Here is an 18,676-nt window from a genome sequence, read left to right on the forward strand (position 1 = left end):
AATGTGCAAAGACCCAGCTGTCCCTTATTCACTACCACCTATGCAACCACTCTACTTTCAAATCAACAAGAGAGAGGACCTTGCTAGAGAGATAGGTTAGTAAACCTATTTGAGTACGGCAACACAGGAACAGTACAGTATGAGAGTTCAAACAAGCAGTATAAAACAACCACAGTACACACAGAAACTCAAATGCATGGAGCTTCAGCATGTCATAGGTTGTTTACTCTTTTTCCTGTTCAAATCTAGTTTTCACTTTTTCTTCAGCAAAGGAAGATAGTATAGTCATCCCCAGTATCACGGGAAATTGGTTCCAGGACAACCCTTGGATACCAACATCTGAGGATGTTCAAGGTAATGATATAAAATGGTGTAGTATTTGCATGTAACTATGCACATCTTCCCATATATTTTAAATCAACTCTAGATTATTTATAATACCTAACGTAACATAAATGCCATGTAAATAGTTGTTATATTATTTAGGGAATAGCAACAAGGGGAAAAGTCTGTACATATTCAGTAGAGATACCTTTTTTTTTAAGTGAAAGCAAGTTTATTAAGAAAGTAAAGGAATAAAAGAATGGCAACTCCATAGGCAGAGCAGGCCCAAGGGTTGCTGCTTGGCTATTTTTATGTTTATTTCTTGATTATGTGCTAAACTCATGAATAATAAGGGGTAGATTATTCATGAGTTTTCCAGGAAAGGGGTGAGCAATTCCAGGAACTGAGGGTTCCTCTCCTTTTTAGAGCATACGGGGTAACTTCCTGATGTTGCCATGGCATTTGCAAACTGTCACGGCACTGGTGGGAGTGTCTTTTAGCATGCTAATGCATTATAATTACAGTATAATGAGCAATGAGGACAATCAGAGGTCACGTTCGTGGCCATCTTGGTTTTGGTGGGATTTGGCTGGCTTCTTTACCACATGCTGTTTTATCAGCAAGGTCTCTGTGACCTGTACAGATATTAATGCAATTTTTAAAGAATATTTTGGATCTTCAGTTGATTGAATTCACAGACACAGAACCCACGGATACAGACGGCCCACTGGACTAATAATTGCCCCAGAATGAAAAGGTAGGGAAGTCAGCATTTTTCCACCATTGTTTTTCATTGCAGACTTGCTCATAAAGCAGTACAACTAAAGAAGTAAGCACTGGAATGTTCTATCATAGTCCACAGAATAGAAAGAGAGATGTTGGGAAGAGTCTTAGGGACAGTCCTTAAGGATTCATGAAGGAGGTGGCTGAATCTTATGATAAGAATCTTTAAATGCTGAACCATGCGGTAGACAGAGGTAGAAAGAGCAGACAGTTTAAGGTTGAACAAGTAATCTATCCAAAAGATGCAAAGAGAAGGTCCTGTGGGGTTTAAGTGATCATCAGCAGAGAGCTGCATTAGCACAGGTCAGGCTGGGCATCTTCAGAAACAGGAGAAGCCTGCATAACACATTTAAATGGCCCTTCGGGTGTTGTATGTTTCCCAGGGTCTGTATAGATCTGGGAAGGCATGCTCCCAGGGGACCTGAGGAATGCCAGATTCAAGGCCACTCTGCCAAACACTCTGTGCAACCCCAGACAGTGATATCACTGTAGAAAGCGGGGCAAGATTTCAGAAGAGCCCGGCAAGGATGCTAAATTTCATCAGAGTGAGCTCTAATTAAAGTCAACATTTTTGACCAGTATGCCTTCCCAAGATCTAGAGAATATAGATTCAAAATGTCCCTTCAGCTGCTGCCTGTGGATAGGGTTTCAAATGGACTATTGGAAATGGTTCAACTAATACTTAACACTAATTATCTCAAAAGTACCTTGTAAATACCAGTTTATACCACATCATTCACCAAAAATGTGCCACTGAAAACCCTCTGAAGCAGTAATTCTCTCTTTGTATGGCATTTATGGAGAATTAATGACCAGCTAAGTCTGTGGACTTTGATCAGAGCCAGTAGTTATTAATGCATAGGAAAAATTTTACACTCTTGTTCATTTTTCCAAAGGTATCATCCTTCGATGTGTGCAGCATACAAAGCCCTAGACACTGCGTTATATGTGAGCTCCCTGTTTTTTTTGAGCAGACCGATAGACTCTCTTGTGACTACAGCTCCAGATTTCAAGCAACTGAAAAGCTAAGTAACAGGATCTGTCAGGAGGATGTTTACAGGTTTAAGCCATGTTGTCAATACGTAGAAAATAAAGTGAGATTCAGACAAACTAAAACACAAAACCACCCTAGAACCTGCAAAAAGGAGAAATGCTTTCATGTCTTCATATTAAGTCCATTGTATTATAGTCCGTTTTAATCAATATTGGATTCATTTTGGATCTTATTAATATGATCACAATTGTCTTTACTTCTACTTTTCCTGAGCTCCACTTTATTCACTCTTTCATTTGTCTACCTACACTGAAAAGACTGAGTAATTAATTCATCTCTAGACTCTCCTAAACAAGGCAGCATTAATGAGTCAGCTTTGCTGTTATTTCCTCATAACTCTTTGCCACAAAGAAGGGAATCCCATGTCCTTGGCTTCGTACTCCCCTACACTAATTTCCCTCTTTATTCTAACTCGTGGAAGGCAATTTGGTCCTAATTCTAACAGATAAATTGACTGCCATAACCAAAGACTGGTTAAGATCTGGTAGGGATATAAAGACTTTGAAAATAACTTTACATTTTATTAACTGATGGTACTCTGAAACTGTGGTTTGATCACTAAACACTGTGGCATTTGTAAGTCTTAGACCCAGATACTGCCAACCAAGAAAAACTAAGCATCTGTGACATTGACTTTGTAGATTATCCTCCCCAAACTGTGCCCATCGAATCTGTATTAAAAGTTGTAAAAATAAGACAACCAGATGGAGCATTTCTAAGCATATGATTTACAAAATACCTCTCTGTCTGAAAAAGGTCACTACTCTTCAGAAGCAATGAAAACCAGGGAGAAAAGGTATCTCCGGGGTGTTTGGGCTGGCACAGGGCTTTTCACGGTGTATGTACAGCAAATGCACAAAGGGAAGAAGTTTTTAGAGTTCCCAGATTCCCAAACTGCCTCTGCAATCACAAGCAATAATGCTTGCGGTGGTCACAACAATAATGCTTTATTCTCCTTATCTCTCACCCCTCCAGGTCCTCTCAGCTGGAACCACTGATGCAGCCTTGGCCTACCTCAGTTCCCAAGTTAAGGGTGACAGAAGCAGCCTGCATCAATAGCCCTGCTTGAGCCCCTCAGACCAATTTGGTGAGCCTTAGAATAACATCACATTCCAGATTCCATGCTGAGCTCCAACTCCGTGAGGCTCCTCCTTGACTAGCCCAGCCAGGCCACACTTAAGGAGGAATCGAATCCATCCCTCTCAGCCCTGACACCCTAGCCCTGGGCTGGCTCAGTCCAGAGCATGCAGATTCTCCTGAATTTCAACCAATTGCCAAGTCTAGGACGAGCGACCTTTCCTGACCTCCAGTTCACTGGCCAGTCCTTCCTCCAAGGTGTGATCTTGACACCCCACCCACCAGAATCCAATTCCTATACCTCTAGTCCTCCTCCTACTAGTGATAACCATTACCGTGTAAAGCCACACACGGGCCACTTCCAGCCTTCCCACCACCTTACCGAGCCCACCTCACTGCCTGCCTAGAATCAATCCTTTCTGAAATCAGGACTGACACTGTAGCTTTCCATCAGACATTATTTCTGCTTTCCCTGCTATCCTCTCCAAAGCCAGAATCTGGTTAATCGCTTTCCTCAAGAAAGGATATTTCTGAGAGTTACAGGAGAAATGAAAGCCATGGGTCCTGATAACCACTGAATGTAAAGGCTAGTGAGATAAAACGTCAAATATGACTATAGTTTCAATCGTGTGGGGTTTTTTGCAGCACCTTATGAATATTCCACAGATCCATCTCTGCACCAAAAGTCGTGTCAGGGAAAAGGGAGGCAGGGCTGCTGCATCACATTCTACTTCAAGTAAATGTCACCCCTTGGAGCTGTGTAAGGCAGCAAGCACACAGCCTACGAGGCAGCCTTCAACTTGGAGGTGGGGGTGGCCAGGGGATGAGCCAGAGGTGGGGTTAAAGTCAGAATCCAGCTTGCACTGGGCCCTCTGCTTATGTTATCTCATTTACTCCTCACACAAGCCCAATCAGGTCAGATTTACCCATTTTATCTTTAAAAAAAAAAAAGCAAACAAAAACAGGGGCTCAGAAAGTCTAGCTTCTTCAAAATCACTCACTTAAGAAGAGCAAAGGTGGCTGGATGCAGTGACTCATGCCTGTAATCCTAGCACTTTGGGAGGCCAAGGAAGGAGGACCACTTGAGGCTAGGAGTTTGAGACCAGCCTGGCAACATAGTGGCACCCAGTCTCTAGAAAGATAAAAATAAAAATTAGCCAGATGTGGTGGCACATGCCTGTAGTCCCAGCTACTTGGGAGGCTGAGGTAGGAGGAACACAAGCACAGGAGTTTGAGGCTGCAGTGAGCCATGATCATGCCACTGCACTCCAGCCTGAGTGACAGAGTAAGACTCTGCCTCCTGTCCCCCAAATAAAGAAGAGCAAAGCTGAGAATTGAGCCTAGTGCTATTAGATTCCAACACGTGGGCTCTATGCATTAGCTACAATGTCTTCCCAGGAAAGGCTTAACAGAAGAAACAGGCAGAGGCATGGAGGATAACTAGACGGCAATGGAATGGAGAAGAAAGCAGCCAGCAGAGTCCAGAGCTGCAGAGTCAGGCAATGGAAGAACTGAAAAGGGATGACACATGCAGCAAATGATATTAACAGAAACAGTGACCACTAAATGTTAGCTATGTGCCGGGCACGAGGCTAAGTGTTCTAGCTATATTAACTTTTTTAATCCTGACAGCAGCCCCCAGAGATAGGCCCATTTTACTGAGAAACATAAACTAAGTCTCAGAGAGGTTAAATAATTTGCCTAAGGGCATACAGCTAGCAGGGAGCAGAGTCTGGGCTTGAATGCAGACAATAAGGCTCCATAATTTGCAGCCCCTCCTGGGAGGTTACTGAAGACCTCAGCAAGGGCAATTTTAGGAGAGTGGAGTGATCTAGCCAATTTGCAGCTTGGCCATGAAGGGGAGAAGAGAAGTAAAGAGCAGTCACTCAAGGGGGTATACTAGCTCCCTGGCACTGCTGTAACAACACACCACCCTCAATGTGGCTTAAACAATGGAAATTTATTCCTCAGTTCTGAAGAATACAAGCCCCAAATCAAGGTACTGGCAGGGCCATGATCCCTACAGAGCCTCTAGAGGAGGTAGAGGAGGGTCCTTCCTTGTCTCTTCCTGGCTCTGGCAGCTCCAGGGGATCCTTAGCTTCGGGGAACATAACTCCAATCTCTACCTCAGTCTTCAAGTGACCTCCTCACTCTGTCAATGTGTCTCCATGTCTTCTCATGGCGTTCTCCCTGCATGTCTGTGTCTGTGTCAAAATGTCCCTCTTCTTATAGGGACACCAGCCATGTTAGATTAAGACCCATCCTAATGACCCCATCTTAACTTGATTAAATATATGAAGACTTTATTTCCAACTAAGGTCATACTCACAAGACCCCAGGGTTAGGACTTCAACGTATCTTCTGGGTTGGGGGAACACAATTTGACCCATAATAAAAGCCATAGGTTCAAGGGGGAGAGTTTTTCAAGATAAAGATGGGAAAGAAGATTCATGTGTTCTTTTAAAATAACATTTTATTAAAGATCAGTAGGCAGGTCATGGTGCTTTCCAAATAAGCAGAAAATCTGATTATCTGCATCCCAAGAAAGCTTTGCAAGGCACTACAGAAACTACAAAAAATATCATTTTTAGAACTCTGCTTTGATTTAATGAGTTGGAGAAGGACATGGCTGAACAACTTTTGCCAGGAACACTTTGGTACTGTCATCTATCACAACCTCCCAGCTCATGTCTTCCTTGATCAATAAGAAAGCAAAATCAATGCCCATGTCAAGCTGCACGGGTAGCTCTCAATCACACAGACTGACAGAGGCAAGCAGTGGCATAAACAATAAAACTAACAAACAGAAACGTTCCACCTGGCTGGAATTTGGTCTGTTTTTTAATTGACATTTTTCTTAGGCAATTAAAAAATGAGTTTGTAATCTGTTTATATCAAATGGAAATAGCAGTGAAAGGAAGTAGCTTGGAAACAGCCAGATTGCAAAAGGAAGCCAGCCTGGAAGTAAATGGCTGGTGTAGGTAATACGCACACTTTTAACAAAGATTTAGCTATACTTACAATATCAACAATAGGTTGAGCCAACACCCAAAATGTTGGCATTAAAATTTTGCCTTAACAATTCCAACACACGATTATCATATCAAGAAACGGTCACTTATAATATTTATGCATTCATTAACTTTTCTCAAAACATTATTACCCACTCCCTGAATAGCTTAACATAGGATCCTAAGTAAAACTCTAATTAGAAAATTTAGCAAAACTCTAATTAGAAACACCTATAAAGAATAAGCAGAAGATAGTTGTCAGTGTTTCTAATGCCCTGAGATACCTCTGATTCTCACTATCTTTGCTATTTAAATTCACAACCACTGTATTCACTACAATATTGGAGGCAAAAAATGGCAACTCTCAGAGGAGGCAGAAGACGACATTATCAAGGAGTAAGAATGCTCTTAAACACACAACTATTTATACAAACGGATGTTTTTCTATTCCAATAAGTCAATCAAAGACTACACTTATTCCAATAATGTTGATACTTTGAAAAACTCCATTCCTACAATTAGCACCAGAGCAATGTGACAAAGAATGTAAAACATTCTTTGGAATGCACGCATTAGAATTCATAAGAATTTATAAGAACTTACCAAATTATTTTTATTGCTTGCCATATATGTGATATTGTGCTAGGTGCCATTGATTTTTTGAAAGAGTGAGGAGTAATTCAGAGCCAAAATAGATAAATGATATTGTTGATCAAGCAGGGTTAACACTATTTGGGATCAAAAAAATGTTTCACAGAAAGTATGTTGTCAGCCAGAGTACAATTCACTCTTGAATGCATCAAATAGAGCCCCCTGATGGTTTCAGAATTTTTTCAGAGTACATCTAGGTAATGCTGGATCTTGTAGGATGAATTCTACAAGTCAAACGATGCCATTGACTTAAGAGAATCTGGCCAGGTGTGGTGGTTTATGCCTGTAATCCCAGCACTTTGGGAGGCCGAGGCGGGCAGATCACGAGGCCAAGAGATTGAGACCATCCTGGCCAACATGGTGAAACCCCGTCTCTACTAAAAATACAAAAATTAGCCGGGCGTGTTGGTGGACACCTGTAATCCCAGCTACTTGGGAGGCTGAGGCAGAAGAATTGCTTGAAACTGGGAGGCAGAGGTTGCAGTGAGCCAAAATCGTGCCACTGCACTCCAGCCTGACAACAGAGTGAGACTCCATCTTAAAAAAAGAGAGAGAGAGAGAGAATCTATCTGCATGTGTTGCCTATGATGTGATTGCAGCCTTTCATTCTTTGGAGCCTTGAGGCTCAGGGAGATACCTCAAATCAGACATGGAGGCTAAACCTACCAAGCATCATAATTATTTATCATATTCCTCGAAGAACCTCACTGATTTCCAGTTTCCCTTGACAAATCAACACAAATGGTGAGTCTTTGTAGGTTCTATGCATACTGCAAGTATACAGCATACCCTCGACAGAGCTTCTCTTCATGCCTACACTGTCCTTAAGAATGAGCCTGTTTCATTATCTAATTTATTCTTTACTGGAGGAGAGAAATTAACCAGCTCCATGAAGAGATGAGTGACTGCATGACTGCATTTACACAGCAATGTGGCTCCATGTTATCACCACTTCCTACTACTATGTCTGTGAGTAATCTCTTCCTCTTAGGTGTGGGCATGGCCTGTGACTTGCTTCTAATCAATAGAATACGACAAAGATGATGGGATGTCACTTCCATAACTGTTACATAAGATTGCAATGTCTGCCTTGCCAGCAGATTTTCTCTGTCATTGGCTTTGATGAAGCAAGCTGTTGTGAGCTGCATTGTGGTGGGGTCCACATAGCAAGAAACTGGGGGCAGCCTCCAGCCAACAGCCAACAAGAACCTGAATCCCTCAGTCTTACAGCTGTCAAGATACTGAATTCTGCCAACAACCATGTGAGCTTGGAGGCAGATCCTCTTCAGTGAATCTTAGGAGGAGCCTCCACTGATTCCTTAAAGCTGAGATCCTGACGTGGGGGACCTAGCTAAACTAGGCCTTGCTCTTCACATTATTTCATCATTAGAAGCTTTTCTTGCCATGTTAGTAGTCTTGATCATTCATTTACTTCAATTAAAATGTGCACTAATTTTTAGAAACTTCCAGGATAATTCTGCAACTGCCAACAGCATGTGTGTTTAGTGGTCAATCCTGGTAATACTATCTCAGCATGTATAAACATGTTATAATGTGTCACAGCCATGCCACAAATCCTCTGCCTCCACATGCCAGTTGAGAAAGCCAGTCCTGTTCTTCATAGTTACCTTGAAGAGTAAACAGGGAATCCAGAATAGGTAAATCTGTAGAGACAGAAAGCAATCTAGTGGTTGCCAGGGCTGGGGCAGAGGAGAATGGGGAGTAATTGCTTCATAGGTACAGGGTTTTCTTTTGGGGTGATGAAATTGTCTTGGAGATGGATAGAGGTAATGATTGCAAAACACTGTGAGTTTATTAAACACCACTGAATTGTACACTTTAAAGTGGTTAGTGGCTAATTTTATGTTATGTAAATTTTACCTCAATAAAAATAATTAATGTTATAAAAAAATAAACAGGGAGAAGGGGGAACCATGAAGGCTTTGAAGAGTTCGGAGAAACGTTTTTAGCCAGAAGGAACGTCAGTATGTTCGCTTTTCCATGAGGAAAAACCAAAAACAGCTGTACTGCATACTACTTCCAAATACTATATTTCATGGATCTTGAAAGGTCATGGATTATAAGATTTACTGTTGACATTAAGTATATACACTAACCGCAAGACTTACCCATGATTTTAGAAACATCTAAGTGTGAAAATCATTTGTATCAGACTCAAAGGAAAATACTATCACAAATAAACAAAATATGGTTACTACTAATTTTAGCAGATCCAGTTTGCTTGACTAATCTACAATGTAACTTAGAGTGACCTGATACAAAATGGAAAAAATATAATGTCAACTAGGGAAAAATGAATAGAAAAAAGACTGGAAGAGAATAGGCCATTTGTTTCCTATGCGTAGAGGAATTGTTGGTGAGTTTTCCCATCTTCTTCAAACACTTTTGAAATACAGCAGGATGGGGTTTCTTCATCTTTTATCTGCTTTGTACCCTTCCATCTTCTAGCCTAAGGCATCAGCATTATACTATGAGAGGTGGACACTACAGAAACAGAGAGGGTTATTTGTCTGAAAGTTTCATTTATTTATTCAACAAAAATGTATTGAGAGTCTGTTACATGGTAGGTACTGTTCTAGAACCAAGGAGACACATGTGAATAAACAAAGTGTCTGCCCTCCTGGAGCTTCCAATCTAGTGGGAAGAAAGTGGCCTTCTTAACTAAGCAATGCAAAACAGGACTTAGTGGCTGGTTCACAAAACTACAGGATGAAGCTGGAGTCCTGGGAGAGACTGGTGAAAGAAGTGGGGAGGCAGACCAAGAAAGAGGGATTTATGAGAATCTGTGTAAGGACAGCCAGCATAGCCTGGAAGGGAGATGGTAGCAAGACATTTGCATCATTCTGTGGCTTCCAAGTGTTTGTGCGGTCTGCTCCAAAAAAGAGTTCTTTATGGTGGTGGACAGAGCCAGAGACCTATCCACTTGTTCCTGGGTGTAAAGCCAGGGTTATATAGTTTATCCAAATGTTTTTGCTTTGAGTATATCCAGCTTCATAGCCAGAATAAACAAACAAATAAACCAAAATGGGGGAAATGGATGAATACTAACACCTGCCTTACTCCTTTTAGCCAACCAGGGACTTGCTTTTAGGAGGTGATAAGTCATTATCTGCAAAAATGATCACCTTATGAAAATATGTAAAATAAGAAATCCCAAGAGAAGTTGAAAGTTCATGTAAGGAAAAGAAGAGAAAGAACAAGTGAAAGAGAGTGTCACATTTCTCTTTGGAAAGTGCTGGCTTTTTGTGAATTCTAATGGATGGTATGTCATTGAAGCACCATTTAAGTGACCTGAATGATTCTTCTTTTCAGGATGATAACGGATGTGACATAGGTGCTAGGGGATTAAGAGGAAGCAAGAGTGTGAGTTAAGCAGATACTGAAAAGATATCCTGTAAAAGCTTTTAGTTCTTTTTATTATTCACATCCCTGAAAATTGATATATCTGCAAACTGACTACAAAAATCAACTTTCCACGATGGGAGGAGTTATCAGTTAATTCTGTCTACCCCCCAACCCCCCTCCAAAAAAGCTTTAGTTGCTGATGCTGATGTTTCTGCACTAAAGGAAGCATTAATATTCCCACCTTAAGCTTTATATATTGATCACTATTCAATGACTAGAGTAATTGCCTACACTTGAAAATGTTGTAGTCTTGAAAGATGTTCTTTGCTTCTCAGAACGCCACATCCCTTGTGCTTGTCATGATTAGATAGCATCATATTTGCCTTATTCAGCTGAAACTAAGACATCTCACTAGCCTAATGATGCCTACCTGACAACCAATGCATTTGGGGATAAGCCTAATGATCTGTCATTTAGGAACACAGAAGTGGATTTCAGAGTACCAGGAAAAGAGACAGTGACAAGATACATTCAGCAAACTACACTTGTTTCTCAGCCAGCAGACAAAAGTGTTACCAGGAAAGTGTTCCAACTCTTGGAACTGAATTGATATAACCAAAATAAAGCTATCAACTTTTACAGCTTAAAGAAGACTCTAGGCCACGCGCGGTGGCTCACACCTGTAATCCCAACACTTTGAGAGGCCGAGGCAGGCAGATCACCTGAGGTCAGGAATTAGAGACAAGTCTGGGCAACATGGTGAAACCCCATCTCTACTAAAAATACAAAAATTAGCTTGGCATGGTGGTGCGCACCTGTAATCCCAGCTACTTGGGAAGCTGAGGCATGAGAATCACTTGAACCCAGGAGACGGAGGTTGCAGTGAGCAAGATCGCACCACTGCACTCCAGCCTAGGTGACAGAGTGAGACTCTGTCTCGAAAAAAAAAAAAAAAAGAGAGACAGAGATAAAAAGGACTCTAAAGATCTATAAAGATCTAGTCCAAACATCCCCTGACCATCATCAGTTCATGATCTACCTGAAGATATCAAAGACTTACCTGGAAGATCAACAAGATCAAAGCTAGTATTAACTTCCAAGTTTCTTCTTTCCACAATTACTGACATTTCCATTGAGATAAGAAACATTGTGATATCCACTTCCACCCATGCATGTATGCAGAGTACGTTCATTCATTTATTTTAGTAATCAACAATCACTTATTGAGCCCTGAAAATGTGCTATATGCTATGATAGATCATAGGCAATACAACCATGAATATGGCATAAATTTTCTGCCTTCAAGTAGCTCACAATCTCATATGACAGACATTTAAAAATACAATATAACACTATGAATAAAGGACTGTACAAGTATAAACAAGGAAGTAATAGATTAATGAGAATTCTCCCAAATAAGATGACAGTTTCATCTGATAGGGAACAATGGGTAGGCCAAGGGAGAAGTTGGAAAGGGAATTCCAGACATAGAGATCTGGATATGCAAAATCTTAGAAACATGAAAGAACACTGCATGCTCAGGTTAAAAAGAGTTTGGTGGCAGGGATATAAAGTATGCAGACGGCAAGAGAAGAGGCATTCAAAGGTAAGGCTACAGGAAGGGAAATTTGACGTACAGCATCAAAGGCCATGCAAAGGAAATTCATTTTATCCTATAGGTAATATAGGTAGCCAACACAAGGATTTCATTTAAATGGGACCATGCTGTCTTATTCAAATTGATCATCTCTCAGAACCTGTTATAACACCCATTCACACCATAAATATTTGTTCAGTGGAGTTGCTGATACTCAATTAACATAATAAGATTTGTGTTTTAGAAAGATATCTCTGAACACAGTGTGGAGAAGGGACTGGAAATAGAGGAACTGCAAGCAAGAAAGAACATCAGTAAAGAGGCTCCTGCAATAGTTTGGGCAAGACATGATGCTGGCTGAAGGCAAGGAGGATGGCAAAGAAGGGTAAATTGAACAGTCACTCTTAGGAGACAAAATGAATGGGGCTTTGCTACTGAGTGGATGCGAGAACCGAGTGAAGCAGAGAAGAATTAGAGATGGCACCCAGATTTCTAACTTAGACAATGAGGGTTCCCAAATGGCTCAGTTTCCTTAACAGCTCAAAGAGGAGGAAGAAGGTGATAAGCTCCAGATCGCATGCAGGTGGCAGGGCTGTACTTGAATAGGGGTTAGGTCACCTCTTTCTTTGAGTCAAAAAGGAAGGTGGGCCCAAATACACTGGGGGTGAGCACAGAGGAAAAATGAAGGGGTTTCTACATGCTGACCTCACATCAGGCCCCTTTTTACAGATGAAAACAGTAAAGGCTCAGAGCAACTAAGAGTCACCCAAGACCACACCATAAATTAATAGCAAGGCTAGAGCAATAAGAAGTTTCCCCATGGCTCCTCCCAGAATATTACAATGTTTCCCTTTACAAGTTAGGACAAGACCAAACACTTCAATTTCCTGGACATAAAAATGGCAAGGGGTTCATCTACAAAAGCTAAGAAGAACTGTGTACAATTAGGCCTTTCACTGTTCTGAATGTCCAGCTCTTGGCAAAAGCACATTATGGAGAAGAATGGGGTATCCATCCCCTCAAGCTTTTATCCTTTGAGTGACAAACAGTCCAATTACACTCTTTAAGCTATTTTAAAATGTACGATTAAATTATTATTGACTATAGTCACCCTGTTGTGATACCAAATAGTAGGTCTTCTTCATTCTATTTTTTTATTTTTTTGTACCCATTAACCATCCCCAGCTCCCTTGAATCCTCCACTACCCTTCCCAGCCTCTGGTAATGATCCTTCTACTCTCTATGTGCATGAGTTCAATTATTTTGATTTTTAGATCCCACAAATAAATGAGAACATGTGATGTTTGTCTTTCTGTTATTTTGTAACCTGATACATTTGAACACTTATTTTCTTTATTCTAAGAAAAATGGTTATAGTCCTACTAGCCTTGAGGCCATACCTTTTATAATGTGAAAAATAAATGTTCTTTTGGATGAATAAGGTGAGTGCAGGCCCCAGAGTCAAGTAAAATATATATATATAATATACGTTATATATATTATATACAATAGTACGGGTAATAATTATAATAAGGAACTTTTGCAATGACAATGATAAAAGAGGCAAGAAAAGTTGTTAATGATTCATCAGAACACATTTCTGCTATCTTTTCAATACATACAATTTTTTTGGTCTCCTGGCTTTACTCATCCAAAAATCAGTATTTGGAACTCTTAATAAATTGAGTTTAGGGTTTTGAAAATATAATTCATGAGTCACTAGAGATAGAGCAAATACCGATAGAATAACTTCATGTTTCTTATCAATATTTCCTTCTTCATTATCTTCTTAAAATGTCCAAGACCTAATGCAATAGCCAGTTCTTTATTGCCAGTCAGGTCATATAACTGGTGCCAAATTGGCTCCCACTTGTGTTTTAGGCTGACTTTGACTTCCTGATAGAAACTGAAGCTTTTTTTTTTAACTCAAACACCCCAGTGAGGAGTAAATGTAGAAATAAGGGAAAGACAGACTGCTTCAACATTTGATTTTATCTTTCATATATCATATGCTAATAAAATAATCAAGAGTATTTGTCAAAGTATTTGACAAGACACTAAGCAGTTTTCAGTATCTCAAGAGAGATATAATGACAGCAATATAAATCATGATTAACCCTTTAGGTATTTCAAATTATCTAAGTAAAATCAGGAGGAAGGATATTCTTTATGCATTTCAAATAGTGCTGACGACAAGGGAGATAAAATGCACCATGACAAGAACCTGTGCGAATGTCGGATGGAGTAAAGGAATCCAGATGCTGTCTTTCTAATTTGTGCCCCATGGGCACCTTTTTACATGCTATTTTATGCAAGAGATCATCTCTGACCCCTCAACTCAGTTTCCCTTGTTGTCTCCTTCTATTTCATCTAGTGCATTTCCTATGATTATACTAATCTTGCTGTACTATAATTTTTTGTATTACCTCTTTAATTGCCTGTCTCCCCACCAGAGAGTAAGCTCCAAAAAGCCAGACTATCACTACTGTTTATCATTGTAAGCCTAAAGCCTAGCAAGTCCCTCACAAGTTGTAGGCACATAGGAAGTATTCGTTGAATGAATGAATGGATAGATGGATTGCAAGGTTTACAGAAGCAACTTTTTTTTCTGAAGAGACTTATTGATTATAAGACGTCACATTTTAAAAGATAAACAATAGTATGTAATGAAGGATTTGGGTTTGGGGTGGGAAAGAAATCTAGATAACTAATTGTAATAGCTACTTTCAATTGTAATAGCTCCTTTCCTTTTCCCTCTAATAGAATCCTTTTGGGCCGGGCACGGTGGCTTATGCCTGTCGTCCCAGCACTTTTGGAGGCGGAGGTGGGTGGATCACCTGAGGTCAGGAGTTCAAGACTAGCCTGGCCAACGTCGTGAAACCCCATCTCTACTAACAACACAAAAAAAATTAGCCGGGTGTGGTGGTGTGCACCTGTAATCCCAGCTACTCAGGAGGTTGAGGCAGGAGAATTGCTTGAACCCAGGAGGCGGAGGTTGCAGCGAGCCGAGATCGCACCACTGCATTCTAGCCTGCGCAACAGAGTGAGACTCCATCTAAAAAAAAAAAAGAATCCTTTTGGCCAGAGCGTTCCTTTTTAGTTGACTGCAGCGACACCTACTGCTGAGTTCAAGGAAGAGCCATCTTTTAATTTGCTGATGGTAGGTGGTGCCTGAGACAAGACCACAGGGTGTTTGGATGTCACCCTGTCATCATGCATAATGATTCTTACAGACAGGTATCCCCATTCCATGGAGAAAATACTTCTGTGTATATTTCATTAACATATCACAGTAAATTAGGGACAGAGCCCTAAATAGCAACTTCTGGCTACAGCGCCCCTCCTTGGGGGCTTGCTCAAATAAGCAGAAGGGACGATATCACATACATTTGCCTCACTAGAGGAAATGCATAGCAAACACAGTTCCTCTTTATCTGAATACCACCTTTATGTCTATATTTGGCTTCATGAAATTCCCACCTCTTTGGGAATTTGCCCCATAAAAATATGGCAACTCCAAGCTAAATAAATGATGAGAAGAAGAAAAGAAACACACCAAAAGCCTAGAGTAGTATAAGGAATCATTCTTATGCCATTTTTAAAAAATAAAAAACTGTTGTTTTTCTAGTGTCCCTTGTTCACTTAAGAAGTCACTCTGTGTTATCCTCATCACTAAAGTCAATCTGCTGGTTATGCTATAAAAAGTATAAAAGATACTAGAGGCTGCTTTGATTGTGATTACACTCAAACATATCCCAAGCTGCTGTCCTCTTTATCAGGTTGTTCTATTACTGAACACCTATTCTGGTGTGGGCACATTCATGTTCACTGACTTTGAGTTCTAAAGTAGTTATTATCCTAACAAGCAATCAACTGTTACTTCCTCTTAAGCTCCTCACTTAATCAGAAAGGATGGGTTTATTTACTTCACTGGGAAAAAAAAATAGTCTTCTAACCTTGCAATCTACTTTTAGACAGACTTTTTTGTTCAACGTATGCTCAGAAGACATAAGATGATGTGACTACTACTAGCTCAATGGAGTTCTTTGTTTAAGCAGATCAAAGAGAAGAGACGTGAGAAATCAAGGAAACCACCCGGAAGCCCTAGACCTGGCCTTTCTGCTCACTATCTGTGCTCTTGGAGCAAGTTATGAACTATCCTGAGCCTCAGTGTCCTCAACAGTAAATGGTAACACTAATAACTCCCTGTTTATCTCAATGCTAGGGTTGTTAGAATTATTAGAGGAACAAACAAGATGTGTGCTAAAACATGTAGTAAACTACAAAAAGGCCATACAAATTTAACAAAGTATCATCTCAAATCCCAAAATTGAATCATTGAGGTTTTATTATATTTGCCTTTCTCTTGATAAACCAACAAGCACATTTAAAAGGCTAAGTACAACAAGCAGCCATAAAAATTCAGAATTTAAGAATGCAGGAAACCTGAAATTCACCTTGATTCAAGCTTTTGCTTAAGATGAAGTAATTGCAGGGATAAACTCATGGGGACAACCTCATGCCAGGCTGCAAGTCCCATGCAGCCAATTGATTCTCACAAGATGATTTCACTGGTTTTTGTCAAGTTTTTCTATCTGTAACTAACTTATGCTTGCAATTCATCTACCATTTGACAAGTGGAGTTGTACCCTAACCCACTCTTTTCCCAATAAATTTATGAACATTAAATCAGATATGTAATCTACTGTTAAACTATTCCTTATCCTGATATGAATTATATTCATTAAACTGAAGCTTCTCTCCGCTTTGGCAGTGGATGCAACACAGTTCTTTTTTTTTTTTTTTAGTTTAATTTGCAGTATTAACATTACTCCATCACTTTAAGTCTAGACAATCAACAAAACAGTAAATCAAGCTCTGATTTGTAGTATTTATTAATTTCTGTGGTGTAAATCCTCCCACCATGGCCAATTTCCAACCACCAATATGACATCACAGAATGCAGAGTTGGGAAAAGATACACAGTAGCACACCATGATGCGGTTTTCCACCATACCATGCAATAGACGTAAATAGCCTCGAAAGCCCAGACAGAAGTAACATGTAGTAAAATAATTAGGAAGTGAAGAGTTTTGAGCATATGAAAATATTGTAATATAATTTATTTAGTTGTAAATTTATATAATTTGATTTCTATTAATGGCTAAGTTTAAGAGCTGACTTTAAAAATTCCCAAAAGTTTTAACCATTAGCTCTTGCAATTCAATATGTGCTGGCTCCAGCACAGTGCTGGAAGGAACTCACAAAATTATGAGAGGGATGTGGCTTTATATATTAAGAGCCGCATCTTCTGCAGCCAACAAACATATGAAAAAAGCTCATCATAACTAGTCACTAGAGAAATGCAAATCAAAACTGCATTGAGATACCATCTCATGCCAGTTAGAATGGCGATCATTAAAAAGTCAGGAAACAAAACAACAGATGTTGGAGAGGATGTGGAGAAATAGGAATGTTTTTACACTGTTCGTGGGAGTGTAAATTAGTTCAACCATTGTGGAAGACAGTGTGGTGATTCCTCAAGGATCTAGAACTAGAAATACCATTTGACCCAGCAATCCCACTACTGGGTATATACCCAAAGGATTATAAATCATTCTACCATAAAGACTCATGCACACATATGTTTATTGCGGCACTGTTCACAATAGCAAAGACTTGGAACCACCCAAATGCCCATCAATGATAGACTGGATAAAGAAAATATGGCACATATACACCATGGAATACTATGCAGCCATAAAAAGGATGAGTTCATGTCCTTTGCAGGGACATGGATGAAGCTAGAAAGCATCATTCTCAGCAAACTAACACAGGAACAGAAAACCAAACACCACATGTTCTCACTCATAAGTGGGAGTTGAACCATGAGAACACACGGACACAGGGAGGAGAACATCACACACCGGGGCCTGTTGGGGGGTGGGGACTAGGGGAGGGATAGCATTAGGAGAAATACCTAATGTAGATAATGGGTTGATGGGTGCAGCAAACCACTATGGCACATGTATACCTATGTAACAAACTTGCACGTTCTGCACATGTACCCCAGAACTTAAAAGTATAATAAAAATTTGGTGATGGTCAAAAAGAAAAAAGAGCAGCATCTTCACAATCAAATAAACATGCGTTCAAATCTTGGCTCTGCCATTTACTGAAAACATTACCTTGAGCTTTAATTTGTTCATATGTAAAATGGAGAAAGTTTCACTATCTATATCTTAGGGTTATTGTGAGGATTAAATAAGGTCTTATAAGTTACCATTATAACCAATACCTGGTACTTATTAAAAACACAAGAAGAAATGTATGTTTAAAAACAAGAAGGAAGAAGAATAAGAAAGAAGGAAGAAGAAAGAGGAAGAAAGAAGAAGGAGGAAGAAGAAAGGAGGAGAAAGAGGAGGAAGGGGAGGGGAAGGGGGAGGGGGAAGGGGAGGAGGAGGAGGAGGCAGCGGCGGCAACTATTATTTTTGTCGTTGTTGAAGAATTTCTTCATCATTAAGCAGAGTAAGTTTCCAGGCCAGAAGATCAAATTCTCTTCTGTGAAAGTTTGTGGAAATGGGAAAAGATGCCCATGTGCCTGGAAAACACTGTGGGGATGAAGCCAGCAGATAAATGACCCTTTAGGTCTTAAAGTCATTATCCTGCTTTTCCCAAGAATCATGGCTATCTACTGTTATTTAAAGCAATCCAACCAATCTTTTCTTCCCTATGTAAGTGGCTCAGTGACTGGAAAGGACTAAGTGCATTTTCATTTCAACCTGGAACTCTAATTTGTAACCCTGTTTTCAG

At 40.0% G+C, this 18,676-nt stretch overlaps 1 protein-coding gene across 1 annotated transcript in view, besides 2 other annotated features; it reads right to left on the reverse strand.

Annotated features, from left to right (window-relative positions):
* ARMH4 (armadillo like helical domain containing 4) overlaps positions 1 to 18,676 on the reverse strand; it is a 151,453-nt gene that overhangs the window by 57,040 nt on the left and 75,737 nt on the right. The window lies entirely within an intron of this gene.
* Positions 14,811 to 15,105: an enhancer, noted in NCBI's record as "tiled region #5436; K562 Activating DNase matched - State 12:CtcfO". NCBI's record gives its function as "activates a minimal TATA promoter and a strong SV40 promoter by Sharpr-MPRA in K562 cells {active_cell/tissue: K562}" and the evidence as "EXISTENCE:reporter gene assay evidence [ECO:0000049][PMID:27701403]".
* Positions 14,837 to 14,886: an enhancer, noted in NCBI's record as "active region_8439". NCBI's record gives its function as "activates an Ori minimal core promoter by ATAC-STARR-seq in GM12878 lymphoblastoid cells {active_cell/tissue: GM12878}" and the evidence as "EXISTENCE:reporter gene assay evidence [ECO:0000049][PMID:35858748]".

Source organism: Homo sapiens, chromosome 14 (genome assembly GCF_000001405.40).
Source record: "Homo sapiens chromosome 14, GRCh38.p14 Primary Assembly".
Classification (NCBI taxonomy): Eukaryota; Metazoa; Chordata; class Mammalia; order Primates; family Hominidae; genus Homo; species Homo sapiens.